The following is a 19,834-nucleotide window of genomic DNA, read 5'->3' on the forward strand; positions in this document are numbered from 1 at the left end:
ATATATATATATATATATATATATATATATATATATAGCATTTTATCCTCTTTCATTCTCCTACCATCCAACATAAGATGCATTAATGGTAGTTAACCTTATATATCAGTATTTACATGTTAGGGATTCAAAGGAGTGCAGAAAAATGAATATCACTCAAAAGTGACTTTGCATTCTTTTTTCAGGAAGAGGTTAATTCATTTTTAGATATATAAGATATGGTTTTATCATGTAAGTGAAGAAAAGTTTATTCTTTTCTATATTTGAAGTTAAATATTATAAAATAGCTGTGTATAGATGCTGAGTTGACAAGGGGTATTTCCAGGACTGATTTTCTTTGTGTAGTTTCAGGTTGAAACTGGCCAACAGAGGAATTTTGGGTGATATCTGGAAAGCAGGAGTGAGGAAAAGTTAATATTTATGCTTTGAAGGTTAGTGGACATTACCAAGCACTGTAGCTACTTGCATTGTTACTGGTGTGCTAGTTTAACTCCTAGTCGTGAGACACACAGCCTTTTGTTCCTTCCCTCCTGGGTAGATCTCCTCCTTCAGCTTTTCAAAGTCCTGTCCAAGTGTGTGTAGCTCCATGATAAATAACAAGTGTTTATTCTGCAAGACACCTGAATCATTGAGTTTGGAGACAGAGAGGGACAGAGATGATTACCAGTTGTCTTTGTTCTCCCAAATTTCATGCTTAGTGTTTTTTTTCCCAATTGTTGTTCCAACTAATTTGTATCAACTTCAGGTTCAATGTTAGAGGCAAAGGCAACAAACTTAGGTTTATTAATAAATGTGCAAGATCGTATTTCTATAATGAATTCCTTAACCTAAACCTTTCTTTTTTGTGCTGATTGTGTGATCAAACCCTGAGGAACACACCACATATATGTCTTTCAAGAGAAACAGTGGTCATGGCAAAAGAAAATGAAAGTGTCTTCTGGTAATTCTTGAGAGGTAGAAAAAGACTAAGATTTAAAAATATAAGGAGGTCAGCTTTTACTAAATAAAAGTATTCAAAAAATGGCACCAAGGCTTCTTAATAGAGAGTAGATTTCTCTGGTGATTAGTGATGTTGAACATTTCCCTGCTAATTCACAAGGTTCAGTTGCCAAACCTTGAATTCCCCAGTGTTCATGACACACCACATTTTCCAGGGATCCTCTCAGCCTGTAAAAGAACACAGCAGAGAGACCTGTTCTAGTTCATTCTTGCCCAATGTGGGATTCCTCTAACACACATTTGACTTGGGATTTACATATTCGTCTGCCCAAGACTTCAAATCTCCTCTGTGATCTGAGGCTCTTCCTATTTAATGCTTCCTTCCCTTTCTCCTTTCATAGTTTTTGAGCTGTCTCTAAAGCCCCTCCCTGATTGCTTTTGCTCGCTCCCCTTTTATCCTTTAAGGAAATACTCTTTAATAAGTCTCTTGCTTGTCTCATTCTATTTGCCTAATTCTCAAAAGACATGAACTGACACAGGGGGATGGATGATTTAAAAGTCTGTGTAAAGATCAAAAACACCTCTCACACTTTTTTATACTATCCCTATAAAAAGAAGATTTGAATTCAGGCATTTAAACATCCTCTCCTCAGCCAAATAAAAAGCAAATAAAAATTCTAATTGGTTTCTAAATGACAAAGGAAAGGAGATCTGGTGTTTAGTGTGTTCCAGATTAATGGTTAGCTCCTTTCTAATCTCCTGATATTTAACAAAATGTTTTAATATCTTCTCACTTCTAAACATAGAAAGATAATGAAAAACTATTAGATATTTTAGTTAATCCCCAGATTCCATGTAGGTCGTCTAACCAATCGGAATGAAGCAGGACAGGTAGTCAAGAAAATGACCATGTCCTCGGGATGCAGTGACCTTGGTGAGCATAGAGCCCACATGAGAGGCCTTAGCATTCACATGGTAATTGAGCTCACTCAAACAAAGCTATCTTCAGTAGGGACTTTCCTTTCTAGAGAGCATGTGCATTTTGATCTTACCTGTCCTCAAACTGACCCGTTGCTCATTATAATAGTAAAAAATACACCCATGGCTGGAAATTTAAGATGCTAATGAGACATGCAACATGTAAACCAGCATGTACAGCTACCGCACATGTGCATCCAGAAGACTACTCATAAAATGATTCCTAGTAACACCTCTCTCCACCTCCTTATGAATAATAATGTAAAACTCTCATAAAGGGAGTTTCTCCAACAACAATCCATGCTGTTTCACTCTTACAAGCAGCCTGTCCAGAAATATCTCTCTCAGGGTGTACTATCTATTTTGCACTTAACTTACAAAATATTCTTTTCCTTTTGCAATGAATGACTCTATACTGTAATTCCTTTGCTGTGTGTCTCTTGTTTAAATTCTTTTAAACTAAGAAGACAAGAACCAATGTATCACATCAGCCATCAACATGACCGCTATGCTGTGAGGAAGCTCAGGGTAGCCACAAGGTCATACATATAATGACCTTGAGGACAGAGAGATACCTGTAAAGACTCAGCAGTTCCAGGCATCTTAACCTAGGTGCCAGCCATATAAGTCAAAACTCATCTTGTACATTCTAGCCCCAGCACGCAATACATGGAGAGAAACTGAATACCCAGGTGACAGTCAGAGTCAAGACCCTAGGCTTATCTCTGAAGCTATCACAAGCATCTCCAGCCATTGTAGATGCCTAACTGAGGACTTATGCTGATAAAAGGTAGCTGTCTCCACCATGCCCTGCCTGAATTCCTGGCCTATAAAATTATGAGCATGCTAAAATAGCTATTGTTTTATATCCTAAATTGTGGAATGATGTGTTTTGTAGCATATGCCCTTAAGAAGGAGACCAAATGAGGAATAGACTCAATGATTACCACCAACTGAAAGATTATATGTTCAGCAGAATCTTATAGGACATTTCACATCTGTCAGTGATGTTTGTATTAGTTTGTTCTCACGTTGCTAATAAAGACATACCTGAGACGGGGGTATTTATAAAGGAAAGAGGTTTAATTGACTCACAGTTCCACGTGTCTGGGGAGGCCTCAGCAAACTTACAATCATGGCAAAAGGGGAAGCAAACATTCCCTTTTTTACAAGGCAGCAGCAAGAAGTGCTGAGCAAAAGGGGGAAAAGCCTCTTACAAAACCATCAGATCTTGTGAGAAGTCACTCACTTGTCACTAGATCAGCAGCACGAGAGTAACTTCCCCCATGATTCAGTTACCTCCCACCGGGTCTGTCATATGTGACACGTGGGGATTATGGGAATAATGCAAGATGAGATTTGGGTGGGAACACAGCCAAACTATATCAATGTTTTTGTTAGTTAATATTTAAGAATACTTCAACTCCTATATTAACCCAATGAAGCCTTTTTTTTAAGTGTCCTTAACTTCCATTTATCTCATATACAGATGTCTTTAATGATATCAATAAAGAACAAACTCTTAAGGGTTAAGTGAGATATCTTAACCAAAATACATATTTAATCATCAATCGTTTAATTTTAGTGGGCTTGAATATGTTTTACTTCAGTAGTACAGAAGACTGGAAATAAAAAAGCAGTCTAAAGTAAACATTCAAAGCCATGAATTACAAATTTGCATTTTAAAGCAAATATCAAAAAATGCTGAAAATTACATAGAACGAAAAGCCATTATCTACTTCCTTTTTTAAAAAATAGAAACATGTTGATCAATATCATTTAAAAACTGTGGTTCTCAGTTTCTCAAATTTGAGAAACTATTCTTAGAAAATCAAGAACCTCATACTAATATTTGTCATATTTTCTCAGAGCACTTTAAATCAGGTTAAAATGACATTAAAATAAGGCCAGAAAAGATCTTGGATGGGCGTGGTGGCTCGCGCCTGTTATCCCAGCACTTTGGGAAGCGAAGTGGGTGGATAACCTGAAGTCAGGAGTTCAAGTCCAGCCTGATCAATATGGTGAAACCCCATCTCTACCAAAAATACAAAAATTAGCCAGGCGTGGTGGTGTGCACCTGGATGTAGTCCCAGCCACTTGGGAGGCTGAAACAGGAGAATTGCTTGAACCTGGGAGGCAGAGGGTTCTGTGAGCTGAAATCATACCATGGCACTCCAGCCTGGGTGACAGAGCAAGACTCCCTCTCAAAAAAAAATATCATATTAAAAGAAAGGGAGGGAGGGGCTGCTTACAGTTTGGATTGTCATTTATTTGAAATGAAAAAAAGTATATATTTACTACATATACACATAAACATTTATATTATATAATATATTTATATAAATAATGTTATATAATAAATATATCAATATAACACACATAAATATTATATATAATAAAAATATATATTTATTATATATCTTCAATATGTCAAGTATTTTCTATGTGCCAAACATTTTAATCCTGAAAATAACCTTACAAAGTAAGTTTTATGATCCCTTTTGTTCAAATAAAGGTCAGTTATTTCAAAGACATACAGGATTCTACCCACTTTCATCAGCTTCTAAGAGGAGAATAAGTGTTTGGTGTAGATTAACTGCTTTTAAAATTTTAGAGCCCTGCTTTCTGAGGCACGATAGATTTTTTTCTGTTTTAAAAAGCTGTATTCTAGTTTTTGTCATTTTAACCATTTGCAAAGCCTTTTTCTTTTCTCTTGGGATTGCATTTCCTAGTCATTCTCAGCTGTAAACTTAATAAGGAGATTCCAGGACACAAGGGTCAGGGGTATCTTGGGGTCCCCAGGTGACTGTAAAAGACGTCAGCAACTTGTTAATAGAAAGAGAATATTAGCATCCTCTTCCAGAGTCATGACAAAGCTGCTTAGGAAGCACAACTCAAATTATTTATTGGAATAGCCACAATATCCCAAATAACTTACACTTCCATAATTGATGGAAATCAATTTTACATTTATTTCTCCTAGGGTCCAGATGCAATCTGAACCAGAAATGACTACTTAAAAAAATTTCCATACTTTTCTAGCCTTAGTTAAAATTATGATTACGTTGTAAAAATGCATAAACAAAGTTAATAAACCTTTGTCAGACACACTCTGGAATTCACTTGATATGATGTAACTAAACTGATTGAGTTAAAGTTGATTGTTGCCTCAGAATATAAGATCAGTGTTTAGCACATGTGCAAGATTTTTCAATAGTGTAGCCTGGTATTCTTAACTGATATTCTCACATATATGACTCACCCACTAAGTAGTACGAGAAAAATGAAATATGACACTGGTTAGGCTGAAACCACTCCAACTAAAAATATTTTAATGAATCTTTTGTGTAATGTAACCTCAAAGGTTTCAGAATTTTAGTTGGGGCTATTTGCTCCAATAGAGTAAAAAAGCATTGCTATTATTTCTTACGATCCTTTTCCACCTTTTCAAAGTAAAAGAACTTAGTGGACATTGAACTTATTTCAGATTCAGTGCCTGTTTTAGAGGTGAGACAATTTAAGAATCACTCCTGATTGGCTTCTCTCTGACAGAATGAAATCAGTGTTAAATGACCAGCTTACACCAAGCTGGCAGCCTCAATCTAGTGGGCCACGATGGGGACAGCATGAGTTCTTTCAGGCTGCCCTTGCCAGCTGTGAGGAAGCGTACTTCCTGTGGTTCACTGTTATTCCTGAAGCCTTTTAAGAGTGTAAATGTAGGACCACGATGAGTTGAAACCTTCTATTTGAGCGGATATCCTGGCAACTTGTCTTTACTAAATCTGGGTCAGATTTCTTCTACCTTTCAAAAGGGGCAAATTAACCAAAGATATTTTATTCTCTTCATACCATATTGTTCATACTTAGAGTGGTTTGGAGTCTCAATACTGGTCATATTTAAGCATCCTTCTCCATATGACTGGAGAGTTATTTTTATCGTACAAGATAAAATGTGCTGGGACTATTCACCCCATCTCATCTCAGTATCTACTTACTTGAAATTCCAAAATATCTCTGCCATGACTCACGCCTAACAAGAAAATAAAAAGGAGGAAGCAGGGCTGCTTCACTGATAAATTTCCACACTTCATATCTTCTTTTGCCTAGTACAATATTGATATATGCTCTAATGTACATATGCTATTCCTGGACTGTGCATATTATAATTTTTTTTTTACCCATTAGCAGGAGAAAAGAGTTACATTGAGTTTTAGAAATCAGGTAATTCCAATTATACATTATTTTGTTTGTACCATCCCAGATACATCTATAAATAGTTGTATACAGTTTTAAAAGGCACAACGTTGCTCATCTTTCAGCACGCAGATAGAACAAATTAGGAAATAAACGTAAGCGAAATTTGATTTAAGAACACTTGGAAAAAAATCCTTTCGAATACACATAGTTGATTCCAGTAATTTTCATAATCAAGTTATGTTTCTAGTGATACATTTAACATTTGAAACAGGTAATTTATTTTTATGGAAAATAATACTGAACTGAAATTCTTATATCTACATCCTTGGCTTAAAAATAGTAAAATAATACTATAGTTACCCATGAAGCTAATTCATTACTTGCTCCTTTGGGAAGTCCATATTATAATTATTGTAACAAGGTCATAGCTAAAGATTAGACTGTATCAAAATTATTTCATTAGGTTGATGCAAGAGTAATTGTGATTTTGCCATTACTTTCAACGGCAAAAACTGCAATTACTTGTGCACCAACTAATAAAAGACAGTTCACTGTTGAGTTTTCATTTTTAAAATCATTGTAATAATCACACTCTTAGAATTCCACCTATGGATGGCTTGATGGCAATTAGCAGAATTTGAATTGCCTTTGTATTTTCTTTTTCGTCAAGAAACTGACTAGAGTAGTTAATTTTAAGTGCTTTCACCTATAGACAAAGAGATAGACTAGAAGGAGATAGGAAGATAACACCAGCATTACCAGTCTTCCACCAAATAAAGGTCCACTTCCAGCTAACACATTTCATGACAAAGTCATGACTGATGATGCTATTTCACTATTTAAATCATGATAAATGATGCTCTTTTTAAAGAAACAATTCAGAAAAACAATGTGGTCATTTTGTACAGTACAATGTTTTCAGGAATCTTTACATTGCAATTTCATCACAGTGCATTAGACCACTTTGGGAGGCCAAGGCGGGTGGGTTACCTGAGCTCAGGAGTTTGAGATCAGCAAGGCCAACATGGTGAAACCCCGTCTCTACTAAAAATACAAAAAATGAGCTAGGAGTGCTGGCGGGTACCTATAATCCCAGCTACTCGGGAGGCTGAGGCATGAAAATTGCTGGAACCCGGGAGGCAGAGGTTGCAGTGAGCCGAAATTGCATCATTGCATTCCAGCCTGGGCAACAACAGCGAAACTCTGTCTCAAAAAATAAGAAACAACAAACAAACAAATAAAAAAAATCAAAGTGCATTAGACATCATTCTCATTCTTAAAAAACAATTGTGTAAAGAATTCCTAATAAAATAATTTGCATTAATTATATATAGCACTTATATTTTATATCTGTGTATCAATACCTATATCTTTAATATATACCTTTATATATGGCATGATATACATTTAAAAATTAATAGAGGCTCCAAAATATAAGAGAAACAGCTGTCTTAATTTCCTAGGGATATCATAATAAATTATTACAAACTTAGCGGCTTACAATAGCAAGAATGTATTCTCTCATAGTTCTGGAGGACCAAAGCCTGAAATCAAGGTGTTGTAAGAGTTGCTTTATTCTAGAGAATCCTTGGGCGTATCTGTTTCACGCCTTGCTCTTAGTTTTTGGTGACTGGCAGCAATTCCTAGTATTTCTTGGCTTGCGCATGTGTCATTCTAACCATTGCCTTTGTCTTCCCATGGGCTTCCTCTTTGTATATTTCTGTGTCTTCTTTTCTGACTCCTTTTAGGGTACTTTCACTGAATTTAGGGCCTACCCAAAGTTCAAGATGATCTCCTCTAGAGATCCTTAACTTAATTACATCTACAAAGATCTTATCTACAAATAAGTTCACATATACAAGCACCAGGGTTTGGGGCTTGAATATATCACATTGAGGCATCTATTCAACACACTACAATAGTGCACAGGAGGACAAAACCACTCTTTATAACAAAACCATCAAATTGTCAGGATGGACTCACAATGCTGAATATTCATGTGTAAATTCTATTTGCCTGCAAAACTGCCTACATTGTTTTAGAGCAATACCAAAGCAGACTGTACTTTTTTCCTGTATAATCCTGAATTCATTTCCAGAATTCCATAATGTTTGTGCTAGTCCATGTAAAAAAAATACCTCAAGCTGGGTAATTTATGAAGAGAATAGGTTTATATGACTCATGGTTTTGCAGGCTGTATAAGCATCACACCAGCATCTGTCCAGCTTCTGGCGAGGATTCAAGAAGCTTACAATCATGGTAGAAGGCAAAGATGGAGCCAGCGCATCACATAGTGAGAGAGGTAGCAAGAGAGAGATGCGGAGGAGATCCAAGACTTTTCAAACAATCAGATATCTTGTGTACTAATAGTGAGAACTCAGTCATCACCAAGGGAATGGCGCTAAACCATTTATGAGGGATCCACCCACATGACAAAACAATTCCCACTAGGTCCCACCTCCAACATTGGAAATGACTTTTCAACATGAAATTTGGAAGAAACAGAACATCTGAACAATATCATTGTCGCTTTTGTCATTGTTCATTATTGCCTTGTCCTTGGACAATGCTATAATATGAAATCATGTATCCCTGAAACTATGCTAAACTAAATAACCCTATAAATAATCTTTTTAAGACAATGATGTTTAAGAATATAAAGGAATATTAACTTGTCCAAGGTTGGACAATTACTAGCAATGGAACCAAGATTTAAATGAATATCTAATTGGAGTCTGAGAGTAATCACTACTCTGTACTAGGAACACTTTGTGTTTACATTTCAGTGACATAAATATTATTTTGACTACATTTTATGGCCCAAGAGATCAAAAAGTACAACAAGTACATTTTGTCAATAATTCTTTCTGCCCTAAGGGGGGAAAAGAAACATTAGGTATAATTAAAACGGCCAAATAAATTTTTATTTTCATATATGCAATCTGTCTAAAGAAACTTTTTAGTTCCATGAAACCATTTTGGATGGTGGTGGTAATACAATATGTAGGAGAAATTTATTAGGAATGTTTTAAGGAACTGATGTGACTATGCCTCCAAAAATGGTAAAATTAGGGAAAAAGACAAACATAAAAGATATAATTTGGGGGTTCGATTTGATCTCCACTACCGTAAGTCCCTGGGGACCTTTGAGGTTCACTGAACTCTAGCAGAGTTCATTGCCCTGCATTCAACTGCTATTGGCTGGCTTGCTGGGGGAGAATGGGAGAAAATAATGTAATAAGTGGTATTTGCATCTCAATTGCATGATTCTGATTTTTTGACATACCAGCTAACCTGAAAAGTATAAATTAAACAATATGTAATGTAATATATTATTCGCTGTTAGAATGTTGTTCCAGACACTGTTCACTACATTTCATTGCATCTCATTCAGAAGGAAGCAGGATAAAAGAAAATTTCTTATTCTCATTGTACCATTGTGCCATTATCAAAAATACCTTGAGATCTATTGAACAATAAATATGTTTTTATACTATTTTTTCTTCCTTTCCTAGAACTTTAACTTCAAATTTGCAAGTTTTTCATTAATATTATCTCTGGCATCATCATTTTTAAACTGTTCATGTCTGTTTATGCTGTTTACACCAATTTGTTCACACACACATTTTTTTTTTTTTTTTTTTAACCTTAGTTTCAGTATCAGTCTTAGACCCAGGAAAGAGAAACAGGTATCCTGGATCCTGCAGTTCAAAATGCCCCACTGTGACAATTCCCCCTACTTAGAGGGGATATGACCTAAGGGGATATGAACACTCACAGCTTGCATTCCCCTTTTAATTTACATTCCACGTACCTGAAACGATGAGATTTTCTTACCAAATGATCTTAAGTTAATTTCCAGGTTACATGCAGACTTTTTCTCTGCTCTACTAAGAGAGGGTAATCCACAGAGCTAAGGGAATATGAACACCCACAGCTTGCATTCCCCTTTTAATTTACATTCCACATACTTAGAACAATGATATTTTCTTCCCAAATGATCTCAAGTTTATTTCCAGGGCACATGCGGACATTTTCCCCGATCTATGATATGCAATGTGGATTATGCTCCAATGTGTGTGCATCCTTAGACTCAATGGACCGGCAAGGGAGTCACTTATACAGAAGATTGGATGGAGAGTGAATATAATGTTTAGGTTTTTCACAGATGTTTGTGTGAAGCCCTTGCTGGTACAGGATAGTGCCAAGAGTGGCAGTAGGAGGACAAGGGTTAGCAAAGAATCTGGTGCCTAACTCTTTTTGGGCTGCCATACTTGAGAGTGGAATGTGGAGCAGTCCAAGTGTGCTAATTGAATATTTTCTTTGGTTTATAACTTTTAAATATCAGTGCATATGTAATATAGGCATTAATTTGTTCTTCTGGCTTAGTCCCCACAAATGTTAGAGAAGGGTTTGCTTATTATTGTGTGCATATTTTTATAAACTTTATTATTCTTCCATAGAATAAATAAATAAGATAGAACATTTTCTCTGAGGCTCTTCTTAGAAATAAAACCTTACAATGGATTGTTTACCATATGACAGTTTCCAAATGAATTCTACTTTGCAATCACTCATTTCCCAGTAATTAGTTGATCTCACATCTTCAAGAAGAGAAATTGTTATAAATCTATTCATGTGTCTTGTCTCTATCTAATAATCCATTTATTTATCATTGTTGTATCATCAAATGATCAGTTAATTTATAAATTTATCTAGGACAACAAAATATCTTCTTTATCTTTCTGAGATTTATATAAATTAGTAATATAACTTTAAGATTTTCTTTAATAAAAGTTTTAATCTCATCTGTATATTTTTTACACAATAAGCTGAGAACCCAACATATAGAACTAGTAAAACTTGATGGCAAATTTTAAATCACTTTTCATGCTCACTTGGAAACACTGAATTTAGTAGTTAAATGGCCTCTATCACCAAAAGATTACACTTTGAGAGTGGGTTTCCTGCAGTTTTAATGTTGTGACCAATGGAAATTTCCTACTACAAGGGTCCCTGTTTTGTCTGTTTCCAAATGGGTTTTTCTACTTTGTAGAGAAGGTGTTTTCAGAGCCATTGTTGATTTTTAATCTGGAAATATGGTTTTAAACATAGAAGGTTGCTAATTCCGACGTGTTGTTTTTTCATATGTTATAATTGAATGGTTACTCTAAACCAGAATAGTTTCATAAAATGCTCAAAGTATATTTCCAAATTGATATTCAAAATATATTTTACTGAGGAGGGATTTTCTTTAATATTTTTGCTTTGAGTGACATCACAAAATCTACCAGAAACTAGGAGTTTTAAAACCATACATTATCTAGAAAAGAATCCTATATTACTGAAAGATTCTTGAAATTTCACTTGAGAAAGAATGTTAGTTTAATATTTTTATTTGTACATAAAAAGTGGAACAAAATTTACACAAATCAGGGTTTAAGCTACCACTAATCCAAAAATCATGCCAGAAAATATAACATATATAAACATTTATTGAAAAATCAAATATAAAATTTCTTATGAGTACGATATATTTGAAAAATCAGAAAAGTCAGTAGTGTCTCTCTAAATTAATCAATGGTTGAGTTTTCATTTCTTTGCTACTGGAAGACTACTATACTATGTCTGACCAAACAGATCTTATTGATTTGAGCTCTAACAAATTGGATTCAGAGATCATTTAATATAACATCTTGTAATTCAAATAAAAGAAGCTGGCACATTAAACTTATTAAAATAGATATACATTTAAAATGAAGTAAATGTAATATTTGAAGTACATATGTGCACGTGTATATGTATATGCACACACAAATATACTCTCTCTATATATGTACATGTATTTATATATTAACAGACATTGCTATATAGCTATAGAGAAAAAACTTTAGAAAAACCACAGATTCTCACAGTTGAAAAGAACTGTGAAGGTAAGGCAATTCTATTTGTCATTAAAAGATATTATCAATATTACTAATCTAGGAAAATGCTATGAAATGTATCACTAATTAGGCAAAATTTTACTACATTTTTTACTGGGTTTTATGGAATATAAAACACTATGTATTTCAAACATTGTATGAAAAGGTCACAAGCAATCTGGCAATTTTATACATAGGCTGACTTTTAGGTCTTAGCTGTCTTAATGCAGCTGTATACAATGCACATATGAGCAGCTCTGTGAATTCATTGGTATTTATACCTCTAAATTACAAGTAATTATAGCTAGCAAAGATGTGGATAAGATTAGAATATGAGTTGTGAAGAAATTTTAGAAATAAATGAATAATTTTATATTGAGTATCGTTAGCCCATAGTTAAAGATACTTAAATATCACATTTACCAAACTGACAACCCTGGGACATAATGGCTTAGGTTAAGTACTATTTTTTTCTAACTAAAATAATGAAGGGGTTTAAGATTCGTGTTTAATGAATTATGCTGCAGCAAATTCAAAATAGAATTATCATTGAATAGTGGTTACTATACAAAATATATATAAGGGGGTCATGAACTTGCCAGAGATGAGTTTCAATTCAGTCCTTAGCTTTCAAGAAGCAAGACAGGGCCGGGCGCGGTGGCTCACGCCTGTAATCCCAGCACTTTGGGAGGCCGAGGCGGGCGGATCACGAGGTCAGGAGATCGAGACCATCCCGGCTAAAACGGTGAAACCCCGTCTCTACTAAAAATACAAAAAATTAGCCGGGCGTAGTGGCGGGCGCCTGTGGTCCCAGCTACTTGGGAGGCTGAGGCAGAAGAATGGCGTGAACCCGGGAGGCGGAGCTTGCAGTGAGCCGAGATCCCGCCACTGCACTCCAGCCTGGGCGACAGAGCGAGACTCCGTCTGAAAAAAAAAAAAAAAAAAAGAAGCAAGACAGAAGTGACCAAAGTGGTGTGTGTAACAATATACAGTGTCTATAAGACTAAGGCAAATCTACTTGCTCAGGGGAAATATGAGCAATCCCAACAAAAAAATAAATAAAATAAAATTTAAAAACCAGAAATAAGTCTCTTCAAATAAAATCTCCCTATTGCATCCTAATCATAAGTAAAATAATTGGCTGTTTCTTTCAATAGCAGTAGATTTACACAAACACCTAATTCAATAGCTTTAAATATTTGGGGAGAAATCAGAAAAAAAAAAAGAAAACATGACATGATGCAATTACTCACTTTTGTGATTGTCTGAACTATTGAACAGTAGATTTCAGATTATGTGGAAGAGCTGATAAACAGACTAGCCTTGGAGAAATGCACCACAAATAGACTTCTGTCAGAAGGGCCTCAGATGGATAGATATTGGGCAGGAGGGAATTTAAGATTGTATTCCCTGGCAAGTAATTGGAATAAAGCAATTCTATGCTGGCAGATAAATATTGACCTATATGCACTAACAGACAGTCAAGCTTGGAATAGAGTTGACCTTCTCGTATGGTAATTAAATAGTCTAGCCAAGATGTGTGCCTGAATGAAAAGCTATCTGACGCTGGTTCAGTGGGTATTGGAGTGAATGCCTGCAAGCAGGGCCAAAATCTCCTGAACATTTTTTCTAATCCACCTCATTGTACAGATGAATGGGGGACTGAGCATTCAAAGGTTTTCTATAGATACCATAATCATAACCATTTTAACTAAAAACATTTTAAGCCAAGTGTAATCATATAGCTACTACCTTGGCCACTAAAAATAAAAAATAAAACTACCCATGTGGTACTTACAATTGAAAAATATTCTTCTTATAACTTCTTATCTAATATAAGAAATTGCAGTTATTCTATTTTATTTTACCCCACTTTCCCAACTGCAAATGTTATACCAAATTATAGGTGCATACTAAATTACCACATGCTTATGTGTGATTATAAAGATTGGCAGCAGTCTTAAAAAATAAGTGCAAGCAAAAGATTTAGAGTAGTTTATTTGAAGTCCTGCTGTCTAGTAATGATAAAATAGGTGTTCAAGGTATCAGTTAAATATAGTTCTTGAGTCATCAAAATATTTTAGATGAGTATCAGATATTTATGGTTTCTCCATAGCCTCAGTACATGCAGACAATATACTTAAAAAGTCATTTAACCACTTAGGAAATATTTCTTTAAAGACAACTTTAGAGATTATCCTTCCCCCAGAGTACACCATTTACTTAACAGTAGATTCCACTAACCATCTTTTTCTGTAGTAATAAAATAAATAGCCTCTGACAGAATTAATAATAACGAAGTGACAGAGAGGGAGTAAATCAGCCTATATAGCTTATGCTCAATTCAAAATATTTATTTGGGTACACCTAGAAATATTGCTGTTAAATTTATAAGTAATAAAATTATAGAAAAATGAGAAGTCGCTAAATCTCATTCACTGAAAAAAGTATTTAAAAGGCCTTCAAAACTATAAAATATTTAAGAAATATCTTAACATGTATTTTATAGTGTACCCAGCAACTGCAGCATGTATACAGTTTCAAAGGTCACATTAAATATTTATCAAAATTGAAAATATGATTTACTGTGAACAAGACCAAAACAATATTCAAAGGGTTGAACATCTTACAGAATGTCTTCTTTAATCATGATGAAATTAAGATCAAAATTCAGTGCTAGGCAACTAAACACTACCTTTCTTAACAACCACTTAATTAAAGAGAAAATCTCAAAGAAATTTAGAAAATATGTTAAGCAAATAATAATAAAAATATAATACATGAAAGCATGTAAAAGACACAAAGCCTCATAAGTAAAAAGTTTTTGAAAATATTCATAAGATAAAAAATTCCAACAAAATAGTATAAGAAAAGAAAAACATACATAAATTTGATGAACTATATGAATCTACACATACAAGAAGTTCAACAAACTCTTACAACTCAAAAACAAAAGAAAAAAACCACCCAATTACAAAACTTGGCAAAGGATGAGACAATTCTCCATAAAAGATACATGAATGGACAACAGGCACATGGAAAGCTATTCAGTTTCAGTAGTCCTAAGAGCAAGGCAAATCAAAACCACTCCATACCCACAAGATGACCCAAGATGACCACAGTGGAAAATTGAAAAACAAAAAGGGAAATAAGAGTTAGTGCAAGTACTGAAAAACCAGAACCATCTCACATGGTTAGTGAGACTGTAAAATGGTACAGCCATTTTGTAAAACAGATTGGTTGTTCCTCAATAAAGTTAAAATAAAATTACCATATGGTCTAGCATTTCCTCTTGTAGGTAAACCCAAGCGAATTGAAAACAGTTGGTCAAACACAGACTTGCACTTGAATACTTACAGCAGCACTATTCACAATAGTTAAAAGGTAGAAACAACTCAAATGTTCACCAGCTGATGACCAGATAAACCAAATGTGCTACATCTATATGGTAGAATAACATTCAGCTCTCAAAAAGAATGAAACATATACATGCTACAATGCAGATAATCCTGAAAAACATTATGCTAAGTTAAATCTGCTAGACAAAAACTTGACATAGTGATGCTATCATTTATATAAAATATTCATAAAAGGCAAAGCCATAGACACAGAGAGCAGATTAGTGACTGCCAGAGGCTGGGGGAGGAGCAAATAGAAAGTGACTGCTGAATCGGTTTTGGTGTTTTTTTGGAATGTGATTAAAATTCCTGGAATTAGATAGTGATAATTGCTGAAAGACATTGGGAATATATTTAAAGCTGCTGAATTGTAAACTTTAAATTTCTTAAAATGGTAACTCTTATGTAATGTGTATTTCACCACAATAAGAAAAAGTCTGAATACTCCTATATTTACATTACAAATCTTCTGTCAAAGAAAATCCAGCCCCTAACAGATCCAGTGGTGAATTCTTCCAAATATTTAATGCTTCCATTGGAAAAAAGATAGAGTACTCTTTCCAACTTATATTTGAAACCAATATAACTTTGACAGAAAAAAACCACAAAGATATCCCAGGAAACTAAAATTATGAAACAATGTGCTTATATTAATGTATCTCCAACACAAGTGAAATAATATATATTTTTAAAAACACAATACCAAAAGATCAGTTTACATTTATTCCATGAAATCAAGGTGGATTTACAGGTTAAAAATCATCACATAACAACCACACAAAAGGTTAAAATGTGATTATATCAACAAGGAAAATAATATTTGATAGAGTTTAACAGACATTCATTTCAGATTAAAAAAAAACTTGGATGATGCTGGAGGCCATTATCCCTAGCAAACTAACACAGGAAGAGAAAAACAAATACCACATGTTCTCACTTAAAAGTGGGAGGTAAATGATGAGAACTCATGACCTAGAAGGGAACAACACACACTGGGGCCTTTTGGAGGGTGGAAGGTGGGAGGAGGGAGATGATCAGAAAAAATAACTAATTGGTACTAGATTTAATACCTGGGTGATGAAATAATCTGTAGAACAAACCTCCATGACACAAGTTTACCTACGTAACAAACTTGCACTTTTACCCCAAACTTAAAAGTTTTTTAAAAAAGCAAAAGAGAATAGAGGAGTACTTTTTGATTCAAATAAAGGGTTATTTACCAAAAGCCTACAGGAAACATAAGCAATGGAAAAATAAAATCTTCCTCCTGAGATCTGGAATATAACCATTTCTCCTCACAATTATACTAGAGAACTTAGCCAAGCTAATCACAAAATAACAAGAAATTGTAGGTTATAAAATGGAATAAGGAAATAAAACTGGCATTACTTGCAGAGAAAATGACTACATGTTTTGAGAACCCCAAAATCTGCAGATAAACTGTTAGAATTGACAAGGCTATTTAGCTTCCTATGAAGTTGATATACAAATATCAATTGTTTGTTAACATAAGAGCAATAAAGAAACAAAGTGAAAATTATTAAAAGGTACCATTCACAACATTATACACAAAATCAAATAATTGTAACAATGTAAGAAATCAACAGACACATACACAAAAAATAATTATTAAGATAAGGTTAAGATTTATACAGATAAATGGATATTCTGTGCTCATATATTAGAAGACTCAATAATGTAAATATGTAAATTATTGCTATATTAATGCCAGATACAAATTAAATCTAACCATGATAATAGCCTTCATATGTGTGGGGGGTGTGTGTGTGTGTGTGTGTGTGTGTGTGTATGTGTGAGAGAGAGAGAGAGAAAGAGAGAGTGAAAAGAGACAAAGAGAATTTGTGGTCTGATTTTAAAATATATATATAAAGACTTGAGAACAAAAAAACTACTTGAGCAAGAACAAATTTGGAAGAATAATATGAGATATTAAAAATTCTTATGAAACTACTATACATTTGACATCATACAGATGCAAGAATAAAAACCAATGGAATAACACAGACAATTTAGAAATATTTCCATCACGGCTGGGCGCGGTGGCTCACGCCTGTAATCCCAGCACTTTTGGAGGCCGAGGCGGGCAGATCACGAGGTAGGTCAGGAGATCGAGACCATCCAGGCTAACATGGTGAAAATCCAACTCTACTAAAAATACAAAAAATTAGCTGGGCGTGGTGGCGGGCACTTGCAGTCCCAGCTGCTCAGGAGGCTGAGGCAGGAGAATGGCGTGAGCCCAGGAGGCAGAGCTTGCAGTGAGCCGAGATGGTGTCACTGCACTCCAGCCTGGGTGACAGAGCAAAACTCTGTCTCAAAAAAAAAAAAAAATTCCATCATATATGTGCATTTTCTTTATAACAGGTAACATCATTCATACAGTCAGGGAAGAACAAGCTTTTACAATAAATGGCGTGAGATTAACAGTAAATCTAAATAAAAAAATGTGAAACTTTATCTCTACCTCATACAGTAATCCCCCTTCCGTATGTGTGGCTTCCTACTCCAGAATTTCAGTTGCCCATGATGAACCTCCATCCAAAAATATTCAATGGAAACTTCCAGAAATAAACTATTTGTAAGTTTTAAATAGCGTGCAGTTCTGGGTAGCATGATGAAATCTCATGCTGTTCCTCCCAGGATGTGAATAATCCCTTTGTCTGGTATATCCACAATTTAGATGCTCCCTGTCCATGAGTCATTTGGGAGCTGACTCAGTTGTCAGGTTGACTGTCGCAGATCATCACAGTGCTTATGTTCAAGGAACCATTATTTTCATTTTATAACGGCTTGAAAGTGCAAAATTAGAGATTCTGGCCATTTGGATATGCCAAAGAGAAAGTGAAAAATGATTTCTTTAAGTAAAAAGGTGAAAGTTCTGACTTAAGTAAAGAAAAAAGGGTATAGTTAGGTTGCTAAGACACATGGTAAGAATGAATCTTCTATTTGCAAACTTGTGAAGAAGAAAAATAAAATGTGTGCTTTGTGTATAAAGGACTCAGTACTATCCATGATTTTAGGCGTCTCATGAGGGTACTGGAATATATCCCCTGCAGGTAAGGGTGGACTACTGTACCACACATAAAATTGTATGGCTCAAGCCTGTAATCCCAGCACTTTGGGAGGCCGAGGCCAGCAGATCACGAGGTCAGGAGATCGACACCATCCTGACTAACAGGGTGAAACACCGTCTCTACTAAAAATACAAAAAAAATTAGCCAGGCACGGTGGCGGGTGCCTGCAGTTCCAGCTACTCAGGAGGCTGAGGCAGGAGAATGGCGTGAACCCGGGAGGTGGAGCTTACAGTGAACCCAGATCATGCCACCACACTCCAGCCTGGGTGACAGAGTGAGACTCTATCTCAAAAAAAAAAAAAAAAAAAAAAAAAAAAAAAAAAAAAATGAATTCAGCATCTGCTGTTTATCTAAATGTGAAAAGCAATAAACTAAAAGCTTTCAGAGGCTAATAGAAAAATACTATTACAAGTGTGTGGTAAGTCAATATTTCGTAAAATAGGAGACAAAAGTCCCTATTGTAATATAGAAATAGAACAGGAGAAATTACATTAAATTAAGACCATTTGTTAAACAAAAGGGATCATCAAGAGAGTGAAAATCCACATTTTAATATGAGAGAAGTATTCAATATACATATAACCGACAGGGTTTTCATATGCAGAAAACATAACAAAACTTCTTCAAATCACAGCAAAAACAACCAACCAATAAAAGAATAGTGGAGGAAAGAAGTTCAATGAACACTTCACAATATTTGAATAATCAAAAACGAAATGGCCACTCATCTTCATTTGTGTACTGATATGGTTTGGCTCTGTGTCCCCACCCAAATCACATCTTGAATTGTAATCCCCGTGTATCAAGCGAGGGACCTGGTGGGAAGTGAATGGATCGTGGGGCGATTTCCTCCATGCTGTTATAGTGATAGTGAGTGAGTTCCCATGAGATCTGATGGTTTAAAAGTGTGGCAGATTCCCCCTTGTTTTCCGTCTCTCTCTCATGCCGCCACATAAGACGTGTCTTGCTTTCCCTTCACCTACTGCCATGATTGTAAGTTTCCGGAGACCTCACAAGCCGTGTAGAACTGTGAGGTAATTAAACCTAATTTCTTTGTAAATTTCCTAGTCTCAAGTAGTTCTTTATAGCAGTGTGCAAATGGACTAATACAGAAAAGTGGTACTGAGAGAGTGAGGTACTGCTATGAAGATATCTGAGAATGTGAAAGCTACTTTAGACCTGAGTAACAGGCAGAGGTTGGAAGAGTTTAGAGGGCTTAAAAGAACTCAGGAAGTTGTGGGAAAGTATGGAAGTTCCTAGAGACTTGTTGAATAGATTTGACCAAAATGTTGATAATGATATGGAC

General features: G+C 35.1%; 1 annotated feature.

Annotated features, from left to right (window-relative positions):
* Nucleotides 5,278-5,827: an enhancer, noted in NCBI's record as "OCT4-NANOG hESC enhancer chr5:27315951-27316500 (GRCh37/hg19 assembly coordinates)". NCBI's record gives its function as "activates a minimal SCP1, AML or CMV promoter by ChIP-STARR-seq in naive H9 embryonic stem cells {active_cell/tissue: H9 hESC(naive)}" and the evidence as "EXISTENCE:reporter gene assay evidence [ECO:0000049][PMID:30033119]".

Source organism: Homo sapiens, chromosome 5, assembly GCF_000001405.40.
Source record: "Homo sapiens chromosome 5, GRCh38.p14 Primary Assembly".
Taxonomy (NCBI): Eukaryota; Metazoa; Chordata; class Mammalia; order Primates; family Hominidae; genus Homo; species Homo sapiens.